Source organism: Homo sapiens, chromosome 10 (assembly GCF_000001405.40).
Source record: "Homo sapiens chromosome 10, GRCh38.p14 Primary Assembly".
NCBI classification, from domain to species: Eukaryota; Metazoa; Chordata; class Mammalia; order Primates; family Hominidae; genus Homo; species Homo sapiens.
The window spans coordinates 122,429,095-122,445,566 of NC_000010.11; the positions used below are offsets into that span (position 1 = coordinate 122,429,095).

The window sequence follows — 16,472 nt, forward strand, 5'->3', positions numbered from 1 at the left end:
GTAAAAACTAAGTCTTATCAGCAGAATAATGTTTGAAAGATGATTCGTGCTTATTAAAGAAATATGGCCTTTCATTGTTATAGTCTATATTTTAATTTTTTTCATTCTAAAATATGTGGGATAATTCCTAGTGTTGACTGAGAATATACTCTTAAATAAAATGATACAGCTGGGAGGTTCTCTTTTAAACACAGTTCAGTTGCAGCTGGAACACTGTATTTCAGTTTAGGTTGGCTGAATCTTCAAAGTGTCATAGGCTGCCAAATTCAGCTTTGGTGACGGAACTGGTTTCCTAGTGGAAATGGTTTTTGGCTATCATTGCTTTAAACTCACCTCTAAAAACGCGTTGCTTTGGGAAAGAACTTGCACATTTATGCTGCATGGCTTCTGCTGCTGCCTTTGTGTGTGTGTGTGTGTGTGTGTGTGTGTGTGTGTGTTTTATTTGTTTTTCAGAGAATCAAGTCTCACACTGAGTTACTAACCTGGTCATGAGTGACTGACCGTGTCTGACTGCCACTCCTTTTTGCAGGAGCATCCCCCCGGTCCTTCAGAATCCAAACACGCTTTCCGTCCTACCAACGCAGCCACCGCCACCTCACATTCCACAGCCTCTCGCAGCAACTCTTTGGTCTCAACCTTTACCATGGAGAAGCGAGGATTTTACGAGTCTCTTGCCAAGGTCAAGCCAGGGAACTTCAAGGTCCAGACTGTCTCTCCAAGAGAACCAGCTTCCAAAGTGACTGAACAAGCTCTGTTAAGACCTCAAAGTAAAAATGGCCCTCAGGAAAAAGATTGTGACCTAGTAGACTTGGACGATGCGAGCCTTCCGGTCAGTGACGTGTGAGGCAGAAGCGCACGGAGCCTGCCTGCCTCTGCCGTCCTCAGTTTCCTTTCATGAGGCTTCTAGCCAAAGATGATAAAGGGGGAAATGGTTTTTAGTGCGTATATTATACTGCCTCTTAGGTGTACTCTTTATAAGCTGGTAAACCAAGAATCTAGGGAGTGGCCAAACTAAATATAATTTCTTTAAAAAAGAAAGAAAAAGGAAAAATCCAAAATATCTCAGTATCATCTGTCTGAAGCATTGTGTGTTCTCATTCGGGTGGTAACAATGTATGTGTAATATTTTTTTCTTAGTGATTTTGACAGTTTAAATGTTTAACAACTTAAAGCATTAAAAATGCTTATTAATAACTTTGGTCATTTAAAAAATGCTACAATGACTTCCTATTAAAGGTTCAATATTTACACATTCTTATTGGTTGATATTACCACATGAAATATTGCCAGACCAAGATACCTAAACTCATGATGTCTGTGGTGCTGTAAAATTTATACTAAAATGTGGACTATTTTGAAATTATAACCATTTTTGATGCCCTGAATCTTGAGGTGACTTATTTTGCATAGAGGATATGGATAGACCAACAGTAAGGGTTGTGGGTTATACCGGCATAGAGAAAAGAAGAAAACTAGAATTGAAACAACTGTGTCTTAGACATTTGTTTGAAAAAGCTTCATCAGGCCTTGGAGCAGTCACTGCTTTATTCCGCAAAAATTATTTGGTAGGAAATTTTTGGGAGATCTGATTTTCTTATCCAAGTTTTGTAAATAGTTGTTATTTCTATATTTGGATTGGTGAAAGACCTCAAGTTTATATGTAAAGACATAACTGCCCTTAGTCATGAAATTGTTGTGACCTCTACTTTTTGTCACTAATAGCCTACATTCAAGTGCCTGTGTTTTTTCATCTTGTTTAGGAATGTTTTGAGATTAATGTGCTTAAAAGTCCTACGTGACTGATTTTAAACATTGTGATAAAATTAATTTTCAGTAGAATAGTTGAATGTGTTAAGATAGGATTTTATGTTAGAGATACCAGAATGCTGGTATTCTACTACTTGTGCAATATATATGTTTTAAAAAACAAATTTGAGAATACATTTAATCATAGGGATATAGATATAAGCACCTCTCTAAAGAATCTTTAGTTTCCGACGTTGAATTATAGACCAGTTTGAGTAAGTACTGCTTTTTTTTTTTGGAGACGGGCTCTCGCTCTGTTGCTCAGGCTGGAGTGCAGTGGCGTGATCTCAGCTCACTACAGCCTCCACCTCGTGGGTTCAAACAGTTGTGCTGCCTCAGCTTCCCGAGTAGCTAGGATTACAGGTGCATGCCACCACACCTGGCTAATTTTTGTATTTTAGTAGAGATGGGGTTTCACCATGTTGGCCAGGCTCGTCTCGAACTCCTGACTTCAGGTGATCCACCCATCTCAGCCTCCCAAAGTGCTGGGATTACAGGCGTGAGCCACCATGCCCGGCCCATAAGTACCGTTTTTGAGGTTCAGTCTTAAACATTTGCTTTAAGAAAACAGTCTTGAATTTCACATGCTGCTATTTTTATATTTTGCCATTTTACAGTACTGTTTTGTTTTGAATTCATGCATATCATTGAAAATTTCTCGTTTTCATTTTCTTAGATGACTTCTTGTCTGAGACAGAAAAATTTCCTACTACAGCAGTGCAGTCCAGAGGTTAAGATGTATTAGAATTATACAATATCAGTTTAAAAATCTGTATGCATAAAGAATGCACCACTCAACTTTTTTATTCATAAGCTAATATTTTTTTAAAGTTACATTAAGATTTTTTCTCTTTTGCAGCTACATTTGAAAGTGATAGAATAAAGAGATTTTAATGAGTTATCACTTTTTCAGCTGATATATTCATTTTAATGGCTTTTTTGAAAGTTCCTTTTTCATGAACACACCCGAGAAATCTTAAATAGACACTTTGCAATATTTAAGAACCTAATGCTGTTTAATTTTGGTACAGCTTCCACATTGCATGTTCACTTTAGTATTTGCAATTTGATATATTTCATGGTGGCAAAATATTAGCTCTGTTTTGGGACATTTTAAAATAGAACTATCCTTGTTCGATAGCATAGGAAAATGTTCTGGTGATTGTCAGGGTCTCCTAATATTTATCTCAATTCTTTTATAAGTCTATGGAAATTATTTAATTATTTTAAAACGTACACACTTTTCTTGTAAATATGTCACATCTGAGTTCAAAAAAATTACTTTGAATACCTTAATATTTGCTGCATTTTTTTCCGTATATATAACATGTCTTCTTTCAGAATGGGAATATATGTGTGCCTCCCAACATTTACTGTTAAAGTGTGTTATCTTTATATGTCAAACTGGTTGAACACTGTAATGAGAATAAACTGCACAGAGTTTATTCTGACTTATTTCTCATTTTGTTTGGTTCAGCCCTTGTGTGATGAAGTAAATACAATGATTAGGGGTGTGTTTGGTTAATTGACTTCAGTTTACATATTTAAGGACAGAGTAATTATTTGGTCATCTTTGCAAGAATAAGAAACTTCAGATCTGTGAATTCTTAATGCATCCCTGCATGTGAAATTATAGAAGGAAAAATGATTTTTTTTTGATAGGGGAAAGAACTTGCTTATTTTTCTTAATTAAAAAACATGTTCTCAAAAGCAGAATTATCATATGTTAGCCTCAGAGCATCGTGTGGATCATCTGGGCTGCTCACAGTGCTCCATGATTATTTAGACGGCATGATGTAAGGCGGAAAGCAGAGGGCATCTTAATCTCCGGGTGGGCAGTTGAGATGCACTCAAAAAACTATGTCGGGTGTTAGAGGCTGCTCCTTGCAAACGTTCCCTATTGGTGATAAATATTCCACGTCTGTTGCGGTGAACACCATATACAGGGCCTAGTGCAGTGCTTGGTGCACTTGGTAAAGCTTAAATACTTCTCCAGTGAGGACAAGGCATTACTGTAGAATGTGTGAACTTCCCACATTAGAGAAAAGTGTATACCTATTTGTTAGATAAATTGTACTTTTGAATTTCTGGAATATTCTTTCCTTAAAGCAACTTGCCTTCAATGATTCGAGATACCTTCTTTTGCTTGTTGTGTCTAATCCATTGTCAGATCCTGCTGCTTTTCCCTGGCATGTTCATACCTTGTTCTCTGAAATTCAGCCGGGAATGACTTTGAACCAGTATGTCTGCTCACCTATTCATGTCCTGTTGGGGCTCTCCTGGACTACCCTATTCCTGTCATTGTGCAGAGTAGGTATCAAAGTAGACATCTTCATCTGTTGCCTTTTCCTGAAAAGCTGAATGACGACTTAAAGATCAGCTAGGCCAAGCCCCCACCATCAATGCTAACTGAGATAAATTGAGACCCCAGAAAGGAGGAGGATTTGCCTGGCCCATGGGGCACGTTAGCAACGAAGCTGTAACTGTTGGCTTCTCACTGTACTTGGGAGCATCATTAGGATCTGTGCCCAGGGTGTAGCTAGAGTAATCCAGCCAAATATACCAGGTTGCTTCCTAATAACCTATGGCATTCCGCACCTCCTCTCCAAAACACATAGGCTTAGTGTTCTTTTTTTTTTTCTCAGTCTTTTTCTGAAGGCCATTTGTTGTGTGAAATGGCTTTCTTCATCTTAGACCTTCAGATCTCTGTTGAATCAAGTGACTTGTGAATGTCTAGCCATGCAACAGCAGCTCACGTACTTCCTGTGTGTGTTCTAATATGCTGCTGCTACAAATGGATGGAATACATTGTCCTAGAATGCAAGGACCTTGAGGTTTGTGTCTGCGTTTCACCTGTTAGGTTTTCTGTAGTTCTGTTAGACGATGGATATGTTTATGTTTGATACCCCTTTATTGCAGCATGTTCAGCACTTTCAAAAAGGAGAGCATTTAGTATTTGGTTCTATTTAGGAAGGGCTTTTAATTATTTCCAAGAACTTATCTAGGTTTAGCAAATGAAGCTTTAATTTTTTTAGTATGTCCTACCTATTTTTCTGAAATATTATTTTCTTACCAAAAGTGCCATTGCGTGTGTAAGCCATGTTTTCTTGTTCACGCCAGCCATGGGAGGTGATAATAGCCTGGGTAACAATTTCAGTCATACTTGTCCAGGAGCCTGCTTCCTTGAAAGTGACTGATGTTCCGGTGTTCCTTTCTTTCCCATTGGGTCTTGGACACCTGATTGTTACCATGGTGTTTGTCCACTGCTGCTATGGTCTTGTTGATGCTGCTCCAAATATGTAGCTGTGTTTTCTGGATACATAATTTTTATTTAAAGCTTATTCCTGGACACATTTTGTCCATTTTTGAAAAGATCTAAACTAATTTGACTAGTAGAATTAGGCTAACAATACATGGTTCAAGGAAAAATACTGCCTTTTGTAATAAAAGTTTCTTCTTGCCTAGTGTCTCATTGGTCTGAATATAATGGCTGTCTTAGACCCGGCATCCTGGCGCCTGTCTTCAACTCTAGTTCTGCCGTATGTGACTTTAGGCAAGTGTGTGTGTTTCGGAACTTCATTTTCTACATTATATAAAATGGAATTGGATAAAAGCTACATCTGTCTTGGTAATTATTATTATTAACTGATGCAACTTTTTTTCCTTTGAAAAGTATTTTTTTTATTATTTAAGTTTTAGGGTACATGTGCACAATGTGCAGGTTAGTTACATATGTATACATGTGCCATGCTGGTGTGCTGCACCCATTAACTCGTCATTTAGCATTAGGTATATCTCCTAATGCTATCCCTCCCCCCTCCCCCCACCCCCCAACAGTCCCCAGAGTGTGATGTTCCCCTTCCTGTGTCCATGTGTTCTCATTGTTCAATTCCCATCTATGAGTGAGAACATGCGGTGTTTGGTTTTTTGTCCTTGCGATAGTTTACTGAGAATGATGATTTCCAATTTCATCCATGTCCCTACAAAGGACATGAACTCATCATTTTTTATGGCTGCATAGTATTCCATGGTGTATATGTGCCACATTTTCTTAATCCAGTCGATCATTGTTGGACATTTGGGAAAAGTATTTTTAATGTTTTTATCCTAAACCCAAAATAAGAAGGGAAAGCTGTAAACATTTTTGCTTTAACAAAAAGGAAATCCCTTTCTTAGCTTTTCTTTCACTTCTAGTTGCAGTTCAGGAATTTTCTGTAAGTGGTGCTTGTACCTTTATCAAAAGTTCTGTTAACAGTTGGTGAGGCAAGAAATATTTGTATCAAAAATGCAAAGATATGACAGCTTAATACCAGATCTCAGTGTTCAGAAGTTTAGTCCATATAGGATTTGTGTATGTTATCTATTTTTTAAATGATTAAATTGTATGTTTTAAACCTCAAGTAAGACACATGTTGAAAATATGGCTGAATTGAGGCTAGCATTTACAGTTTTGATTGATGAAATCTGTATTTTTTGATACATTTAATAGTGCCTTACTGTGGTATATTCATGTGGTAATAGCGCCACCTTCTGGTTATATCATTGCTAAATTTAAAATTTGGAAATTTGGAGTCTGTTTATTGCCTCCATCGTAGAAAATTAGATAAGATATGTGATTGCCTAGGATAGTTTTGAAATTAATATAAAATTCAAACTAACATTTACAAATTATAAATTTTTTATTTAGAGATGATTGTAGGTTCACATATAGTTGTAAGAAATAAAACTTTCCAAACTTTCAAAATGGGGAATATTTAGTATTTGGTCCTATTTGGAAAGAGCTTTAATTATTTCCAAGAACTTACCTGGGTTTAGAAAATGAAGTTTTGGTTTTTTAATTATGTCCTACCTGTCAATTTCTGTTTCTGTAAGAAATAATGTAGACCCACACGCCTGTAGTCCCAGCTATTCAGGAAGCTGAGGCAATTGGAACACTTGAGCTTAGGGGTTTGAGATCAGCCTGGGCAGAATAATGAGACACCATCTCAAAAAAAAAAAAAGAAAAGAAAAAGATATTGTGTACCCTTTACTCAGTTTCCCCCCAACAGCATCTTGAAAAACTAATACAATATTATAACCAAGATACTGACACTGATACAGTCAAGATGCAGAACAGTTCCATCATCACAAAGGCCCCTCTTTGTTGTTCTTTTTATAGTCACATCCATCTCCTATTCTGCAGGTTTGGAAGCAGACTTAGCCACTTGTCCAGAGTCAGATTAGGCTTGAAATGTATCTTTCTGATACCAAAGTTTGGGCTCTTAACACACTACTTCTACTGTCTCAGTAGAAGTCTTGAAAACTTCTCTTTTAAAATAGTACTTCCAGATTACTAAATGAGTTGAATTCAGTCTGTTTTCAACATTTCTAGAACCATACTATTTCAAATGACATATTATTTATACATACCTTTAAATTTAACATTTGAGAATCAATCATAGGTACGTATCAAATTACAACTTCCCTGAAAGATTTCAAGCCCTGACATTTGATAAATAAGGTTACCAGAATAAATAGTAAGTAACAGATTGAAATAGCTTTAAGATGCTGGATTCTTGCTTTGGAAACAGCTATAGGGCCTGGTTATAAAGATAATCACTTGGTATAGGCTAACAGGTTTTTTCCATGTGGAGAAGCTTTGACCTGATGGAGTTGGGTCAATTGGTGTCTTCAGTGTACGACATGCAGCACACAGGAGACCTAAGAAGACGACAAAGATGTCCACGAGGAATCTGCCGAAAGAAAATATAAAGTAATATGTGATAAAATCTAGCATGGAAAACTACGCATCAGAGACTGAGATGGCCCATGGGTGATGGTGTGGGTAAGATAAGTGTTGTGATGGAGAGGGCCTTTGGGGGGTCCCATGAGAGAAAAAGGTACTTCTAAGTAAAAGCCATGTGACTTTATAAATTTCTAAATGTTGATTCAGGGGTCCTAAGTGATGGAGAAAGTTTACATTGTTCTCTTAAGGCTCCATTGCCTCTTTCCCTCCCGAACTGTGGTATGTATACCTCTAATGCACGTTTTCTTTAGTGGGGAGGAAAGGAGGGGCTGTGGAGAACTTTCCATGGTCAGGAACTTACATCAGCCTTTTTTTTTTTTTTTTTTTTGCCTGTCTTTGGTACCTTATCTTCATGTTATGAATGTAACCTATTCCCTGTGGAAACATTTATTATTATTTCCAAATAGGGCCTTTGGTCCCAATGGCGTCTGTTTCTTTTTGACTTCTACATACGTCATGCTCACGGTCTTGGTTCGTATTGTCACTCATGCCATTTTTTCTTCCCATTTGCTTTTTGCCTGTCTAGTTTGAAGGTGGAAGATTTTCCGATGAATCAGATATGGCAAGTGAAAGGAAGTGAAGAATTAAGGGTAATGACAAGGTTTTCAGCCCGAACAACTAGAAGCCATGAACTGAGGTAGCAAAGATTGCAGGTAGAGCAGGTTTGATGGAAAAGATCATGATTGCAGTATTGGTTGCAGTATTGAGTGTTAGGGTTGACATGTCAGACATCCAAGTAGAAATGGCAGGCAGGCAGTTGGATATGCAAATTTGGAATTGAGAGAAATCATTATTGGAAATAAAAATGTGGGAGTCTTCAAAGTATTCGGTGCTATTGAAGGCTTTGAAACTGGATGAGATCATCTTTAGAGAGAATGAAGATGAAAGAAGAAAAGAGAACCATGGAATGAGCCCTGGGGCGCTCCAATATTAAGAGCTTTGGAAGAAGAGGAGGAAGTAGCCATGATGAATGAGAAGGTGTGACCACCACATCAACAGGATATCAAGAGTACGTTGTGTCTTAGAAGCCAAGTGAAGAAAATGAAGTGAGGAGGAGATCGGATGTTTCAAATTCTGCTCGCAGGTCAAGTTAAGAGGCAGCCTGAGAAATGCCCTTTGTGTTTGGCAACGTGGACAGTACAGATGTCATTGGTGATCTTGCCAGGGCCTGTTCTGATGGAGTGGTGGGGACAAATAGAACTCTTTTTGAGGCATTTTGCTGCAAGAGGACTGGAGAAAGGTGACGGTTGCTAGTAGCAAAAGTAGTCTTTTCTTCTTAAGACAGTGGCTTGGCCAGACACGGTGGTTCACGCCTGTAATCCCAGTTTTGGAGGTCTAGGTGGGAGAATAGCTTGAATCTAGGAGTTCAAGACCATCCTGGGCAACATGGCAAAATCCCATTTCTACAAAAAATACAAAAATTAGCAGGGTGTGGTGGCGTGCATCTGTAGTCCCAGCTACTTGGGAGGCTGAGGCGGGAGGATCACCTGAGCCTGGGGAGGTTGAGGCCACAGTGAGCTGTGATTGTGCCACTGCACTCTAGCCTGGGTGATAGAGTGAGTCACTGTCTCAAAAAACAAACAGAAAACAATAACAAAAGATGGTGGCTTATTTGTTGATGAAATGACCCAGTAGGAAAAGAAAGATTGATGATGTAGAAGAGTACAGAATTGTTGGAACAAGTCCTTGAGGAGGTGAGATGAGATGGAAGCTAGGGCACAAGTTGGCTTGACTTCTTCAAATGCACAGGTGTTTATCTGGGGTAGGAAGGCACAGTATGTGGTGCAGCCACTGGTTAAGTGGGTAGACGTGGAGGGGTAAGTCTCTGAAAGTCTCTGCCTTAGTCTCAGTAAACTAGGAAACAAAATTCGCAACTGCAAGTAAGGTGGGGAAAGGTGTGAAAGGCATGAGAGAATAGATGTCTAGGATTGGGGAGAAGGAATGGACTAGGGACATTTAGGATATTCTGAGCAGCACTGAAAACCCACTGAGCTCTGTGTGCATGAATGACAGTGTTCAATAACTGATAACTGTAGTCATTTTTGTCACGCTCCTGACTTCAGTGGAAAAGCCTCTAGTGCAGGCATGTCCAATCTTTTGGCTTCCCTGGGCCCCAGTGGAAGAAGAAGAATTGTCTTGGGTCATACATGAAATACACTAACATTAATGATAGCTGATGAGCTAAAAAAAAAAAAATCGCAAAAAAATCTCATAATGTTTTTAAGAAAGTTTACAAATCTGTGTTGGGCCGCATTCAAAGCCGTCCTGGGCCACATGCGGCCCGTGGGCTGTGGGTTGGACAAGCTTGCTCTAGTGGTTCCCCATGCTGCTGGCTTTTGGGCTGAGAAATATTTTATCAGGTTAAAGAAGTATCCAACTATTCATATTTTGTTGAGTTTTTTTCTTAAGAATGGTGATTGAATTTTGTTAAATATCTTCAATATGTCTGGAAATAATATTTTTATCCCTCTTTAATTTGGTGAAAGCTGTTAATCCAGTTCTCAATATTTAACCATCATTACATTTCTGGAATAAATCCCATTTGGTCAAGATATGTTATTTTAAAAATCTGCTAGATTTTGTTTGCTATTAGGGATTTTTGCATAAATATAAATGATACTGGTCTGCATTTTTCTTTTGTGTAGCTCTAGTCTTTGTAGGTTTTGTGGTGTTTTACTAGCTTCATAGAAAATACTTGAAAGGTTTTTTTTTTTTTTTAAATTTTAAGCTGTTACAGAACAGCTTCAAAAGAATTGGTATTCTAGGCTGGGCACAGTGGCTCACGCCTGTAATCCTAGCATTTTGGGAGGCCAAGGCATTTCTCAGGCTGGATCACCTGAGGTCAGGAGTTCGAGACTAGCCTGCTCAACATGGCGAAACCCTGTCTCTACTAAAAATACAAAAAATTAGCCAGGCATGGTGGCAGGTGCCTGTAATCCCAGCTACGTGGGAGGCTGAGGCAGGAGAATTGCTTGAACCCGGGAGGCAGAGGTTGCAGTAAGCTGAGATGGTGCCACTACACTCCAGCCTGGGTGACAAGAGTGAAACTCCATCTCAAAAAAAAAAAGTTGGTATTCTATACTCCTTAAAGAGTTAGTGGACTTCCGCTAGGAAATCCTCTCAACCTGGTGCTCTTTTGAGGGTGTGCCATTGACAACCTCCTCATTTCCTCTATGAGAATTGATATGCTTAGGCTTTCTATCTTTTCTGGGGTCAGTTTTGATCAATTATATCCATAGAAAATTATACATTTTATCTAAGTTTTTAAATGTATTTGCATGGAGCTGAGCACAATATACAGAACTTATTTAAGGAGAAATGCATTACTGCAGATCCCACTTTGTTCTTCAACTCAAAATATCCAATGCTGTGAAGATTGCTTATATGACAAGTTGTGCTATCTTCTGATTTTTACCTGGAAGCAATGTGATCACAAACATACCACCAGATTAAAGTGGTAGTACTCAGGTAACAGGAGGCCATCCAAATTAAATTTAGGAGTCTTTAAAAAATTATCAAAATTCAATGTAAAAAGTATAATTTCTTGTAAAGAACATGTGGTTCCTGGAGAACATGTCTAGGTTCCCCATTTGAGAAACACTGTCCTAGTGAATAGCATTTGAACTTATCCTACGTTCATTGCCCTTCCATGTCCACCTTCTCACACAGTGCTTCTGTGTATATCTGGCACTCCAGTTCAACTGAACCTTTCCATCTCCCTGTTTCCCACCTTCCTGCTATTATTTGTGCTGTTTCTTCTGCCTGGAACGCCACTTTCCTAATAATTGTTGCCTGTTAATTCCACACCTTCAATTCTCACCAAAATGCCACTTTCTCCTTGAAGTGTTGGAATTGCTTTCTCATCTTTCCCATCACACAAGCCTTGGTGACCCCAAAACACTGGATTCCCTTCTCCCTTCCCATGCCAACGTTCAGTACAGTTCATTGGAACAGAATTCACTTTAAGCTTTGCTCTTAAACTTTGGCCTAGTAAATAGCTTTTCTCCTTTCACTGTAGTCCCTTTTAAAAGCCAAAGACTTCAAAATTTGGAAGAGATTAGAAAATGAAAACAGTCCAAATCCAGCTCTTTGTTGATTAGATTGGCCCAAAGGGGACATAAATAAGACAAGCAAAATGCAAACGAATTCTAGTAGTAATGGCCACTGTATAAGCACTGCACCAGTGCAGTGGTTTCAGCAGCTGGTCCTGGGCCCCTTTCATACTTAATGTATGTTTGGTTTTACGTTTAATTTTAGGTGCTAACAATTACCTCATGGGCCCCTCTTAAGTCTGCTGTGAGAGAAATCCTAATCCCCTAAGGCAGTGGTTCTCAAAGTGTGGTCCCTGAGACCAACAATGTCAACATTACTGAGAACTTGCTAGAAGTGCAAATTATTGCTCCCATCCCAGTCCTACTGAATCAGATTTTCTGGGATTAGGGCAGGCAATCTGTTTTAACAAGGCCTACAGGTGATTCTGACATCCATTAAAGTTTGAGATCGGCTGGGCATGGTTGCTCACACCTATAATCGCAGCACTTTGGGAAGCCGAGGCGAGAAGATTGCTTGAGTTCAGGAGTTCGAGATGAGCCTAGGTAACATAGTGAGACATCGTCTCTACTAAAATTCAAAAAGAATTAGGCATGGTGGTGTGTGTCTGTAGTCCCAGCGACTTGCATTGCGTGCTGAGGTGAGAGGATCGCTTGAGCCTGGGAGATCAAGGCTGCAGTGAGCCCTGAGTGTCACTGCACTCCAGCCTGGGCAACAGAGTGAGACCCTGTCTCAAAAAAAAAAAAAGTTTGAGATCCTCTGCCCTAAGATATCCATTATCCATTACATGTAAGGAATTAACTTCTCTCCTATGCGACCAGGATGGCCTTTGTTACATAGTATCCTTAGAGCTGAGAAAACAGTTACCTAAATCACTGCCTGTGTTCTGTGGTTCAGATAAAGAACCCACTGAAAGAGGCTGCGTGCATGAACCGGCTCTGACCAACTGAACATGAAACACAGGTTGGAATAAAAATATTTTTTTATTTGATGGTCTTCCATATAGACAGAATTTCATCAGGAATCAAAGAAAGGTGGTTACCACATATAAACACCAACTAAACTCTGAGCTTTCTGGCAACTGAAAAGGAAAACGTTGAGTTCTAGAATAGCCTTTGTTGTTTGATGCAACTAACCATATCACCTTTTAGAGCTAGAGAACCGTCCAGGTATTAAATGTTTGGAATCTTTTATGATGTGGATTGTGCTACAGGGGACACTGAGTAACGTGGGGACCAATGTCCTTCACAGTTTTTGTAGAAAAATTTTTAGGTGGTCTTCCATATTCACCCTTAGAAGCAAGGACAACCCTTCGAGTGTAATTCCGTGGAGATGATTTCCTTCTGACTCAAACACCCATAGCTTCCCTGTCTGTCCATTTCGTGAGCTCCTCATTACCTTCCATGACTCACTTTTCCATGTGACACGGAGCCTCCCTGGCTTCCACTGCTGATACTGACCATTCCTTTCTTTGTTCTCTATGCTGCCGTGGACACAGAGCCACCATCGCTGTTAACTGTACTAGAGTCTTTACTTTTTTTTTCTTTTGTGAGCCTAAGCCTTCCTCAAGACAAGAATCTTTGTTTTGTTTAAAAAAAGAATAGCCTTAATGTTTTTTTTTCTGATTTTAAAGTGAACACCCTATTGTAGAACATCCATGTAAGCAAAAAGAAAAAAAATAAAAATGATTTGTAATTTCTCCAAGAAATGACCTGTGTTGACATTTCAGTGATTATACTTCCAAGTCTTTTACTAAATGTGTACGTAAATAGCTTTATTTTTGTGTGTGTAAAAATCTGTAGCCTCTGTAAACAAGCCAAATGTCATATACACCCCACACAAAACAATAAAAGCAAAAATCACCAGACTTCTCATGACTCGACTTTGTTCTGGATGGCTCTTTGTGCTTATTTACACATAGACATTGGCAAGTTGACATATTTGGGACCATGCCATACATGTTGTTTTGTAGCCTGTTTTCCATGTAGCAGTATGTTACAGACACCCTCACTTATCAATAAATATATGGACACCACTATTTATAAAGGCTTAAACTTTGGTCTTCCCTTGTGTATTTATACAGAAAAAAACTTTAACCATTCCTTTACTGGACATTTTGATTGTTTCTACTTCTTCACTTTTTTTTTTTTTTTTTTTTTGAGACGGAGTCTTGCTCCGTCGCCCAGGCTGGAGTGCAGTGGTGCCATCTTGGCTCACTGCCAGCTCCACCTCCCGGGTTCATGCCATTCTCCTGCTTCAGCCTCCCGAGTACCTGGGACTACGGTGCCTGCCACCACGCTCAGCTAAGTTTTTGTATTTTTTTTTCAGTAGAGACGGGGTTTCACCGTGTTAGCCAGGTTGGTCTGGATCTCCTGACTTCATGATCTGCCCGCCTTGGCCTCCCAAAGTGCTGGGATTACAGGCGTGAGCCACCACGCCCGGCCATTCACTATTTTAACAATACTGCAGGCCATGTCTTTTCTCCACTAGTAATACACTCCCAGGCATGGGTTTGTTGCTCTCAAAGGTATATGCACTTCCTACCATGGTCAAATGACATAGGAAGGATGTACAAATTTATGCTCCCATCAGTAGTGCATAACAGTGCAGGCCGGGCATGGTGGCTTACGCCTGTAATCCCAGCACTTTGGGAGGCTGAGGTGGAGAGATCACCTGAGGTTGGGAGTTCGAGATCAGTCTCACCAACATGGAGAAACCCCATCTCTACTAAAAATACAAAATTGGCCGGATGTGGTGGCACATTCCTGTAATCCTAGCTACTTGGGAGGCTGAGGCAGGAGAATCGCTTGAACCCGGGAGGCGGAGGTTGCAGTGAGCCGAGATCATACCATTGCACTCCAGCCTGGGCAACAAGAGCGAAACTGCGTCTCAAAAAAAAAAAAAAGTGCCCATTTCCGCACATCCTTGACAGTACTGGGTTTTGTCCATACTTTTAATTTTTGGCAATCTGATTAAAGAAAAATGATATATTATGATTTTTATATTTATTTGAAAACTATAAGGTTTTTTTAAATGTTAACATTTCTATTTATCCTTTTTGTGAATTGCCTGTTTTTATCACAAGCTTTTCATTGCTGTTTGAAGTTTTCTTATTTATTTCTAAGAATCCTTTATATATAAACTATTAATCTTTTTTCTGTATTTACTTATCTTTGTCCTGTATTGAAATATTCTCGTTCATCATTTGTCTCTTATTTTAAATATGGTTATTTTAAATTTCTTTTTGGATTTAGCCTTTGTTGTCACACTTAATAATTTACCACACAAAGGTTTTATATATATACTTATAATACCTTTCAATACATGTATTTTAATTTTTTACTTCTAAAAGTTAAATACATGTGGAATAATTTTGGCAAATAGCATAGAGATCTAATATACTTTTCTACCTCATACCTGAAATTCAGCCAGTTTTCTCTATGCTATTTGTTTTTAAAATCTATTTCTCCCATTGATTTGGAATATTACTTATATCAGGCACTGATTACTTACACAGGAGTCCATTTCTCAACTTTTTATAGCACTAATGTGAATATTTCTCTATAGTATTATATATTAGTAATTATTATTTATAACATATTTTAATATCTGATAGAAATGTTTTTCTATTCTCAGTATTCTTGAACTTCCAACTGCTTATTTTGAAGTTCCAAAAAATTCTACTTTTAAAAACTTGGAATTACATTAAGTTTTTAATATTGTCAGGATGCTTGTTCCTGTAAACCTGAGATGAAACTCAGAGTCTAGCTGTCTTAGTCCATTTGGGGTGCTGTACAAAAATACCATAGACTGGGTGATTTATAAACAACAGAAATCTATTTCTTACATTTCTGGAGGCTGAGAAGTCCAAGATCAAGGTGTCAGCAGACTTGGTGTCTGGTGAGGGTTGCTCTCTGCTTCATAGACGGCTCATTGTTGCTGTGTCCTCACATGGCAGAAGGGGTGAAGGAGCTCGCTTGAGCCTCTTTTATATGGGCAGTAATCGCATTTATGAAGGTAGAGCCCTCACGACAATAACTCCCCAAAAGGTACCCCCCTTCCCAAACGCTATCACATTGGGCATCAGGTTCCATATGCATTTTGGGAGGACACCAACAGTCAGACTGTGGCACTAGCTGTGTTTGGTGACTGTGGACAGATGATTCTCCCACCTACGGATTTTCCAGGTAACTGTTTGTCTTTGGAGGAAGGAGATTTGCCTTGAGGAGGCTGTGTACAAGGAAGGAGAGGAAGATTGGATTGGTGCTCTGAAGATAGAGAAGGCTGTGAATAAAATCTGCATTTTGAAGATAGGGAAGACAAGAAGTCCTGTTCTTCAGGACAATGGTGGCAGAATGGGGCACAGAGAAGAGCACTGTCCCCATTTCTGTGGCACCTGGTACAGACAAGAGCCACAAGGGCTGCCACCCCTGACATGCCATTGGTCACTCCAAATCAGTGCTGTGCAGGGGCTGGCTCCTGAGACCCAACTGTTAAATTTCCAAGAATTTTCCAAGCTGGTTGTTAAACAGAACCATTATTAAAAATTAAACGTATAAACTTACAATTAAATGAGTTATGTGAGGAACAAAGGTAATGAATATTCAAAATTCATCATTTGTTAGTCATTTCACTACACCTTACTACAATCTATGCTTATTTACATCTGTTGTTGTCTATATGGTGGAAATACTAGGTAATGATATGCTACTGTACATCCTTCCTAATTCCACATTCAGTGATGGCAGACTTGACACTGGCACAGTGGGAGTATTTACACCATGAAAGTTGGCAAATGCTACAAATTAGGACTTGATTGATTGTTTTCCTG

The 16,472-nt window shown here is 39.0% G+C and overlaps 1 protein-coding gene across 68 annotated transcripts in view; it reads left to right on the forward strand.

Annotated features, from left to right (window-relative positions):
* The window catches only part of PLEKHA1 (pleckstrin homology domain containing A1), a 67,893-nt gene extending 54,387 nt beyond the window's left edge, over nt 1-13,506 (forward strand). For 67 of the 68 annotated variants that reach the window (NR_165161.1, NR_165162.1, NR_165164.1 and 64 more), the window contains one exon: nt 530-13,506. Coding sequence is in view for 59 of the 68 variants with exons in the window: in NM_001377235.1 (NP_001364164.1) it covers nt 530-844 (315 nt within the window). In the remaining 9 variants the exon portion in view is untranslated. The remainder of the gene's footprint in view (nt 1-529) is intronic. The other variant, NM_001001974.4, reaches the window with a different exon arrangement.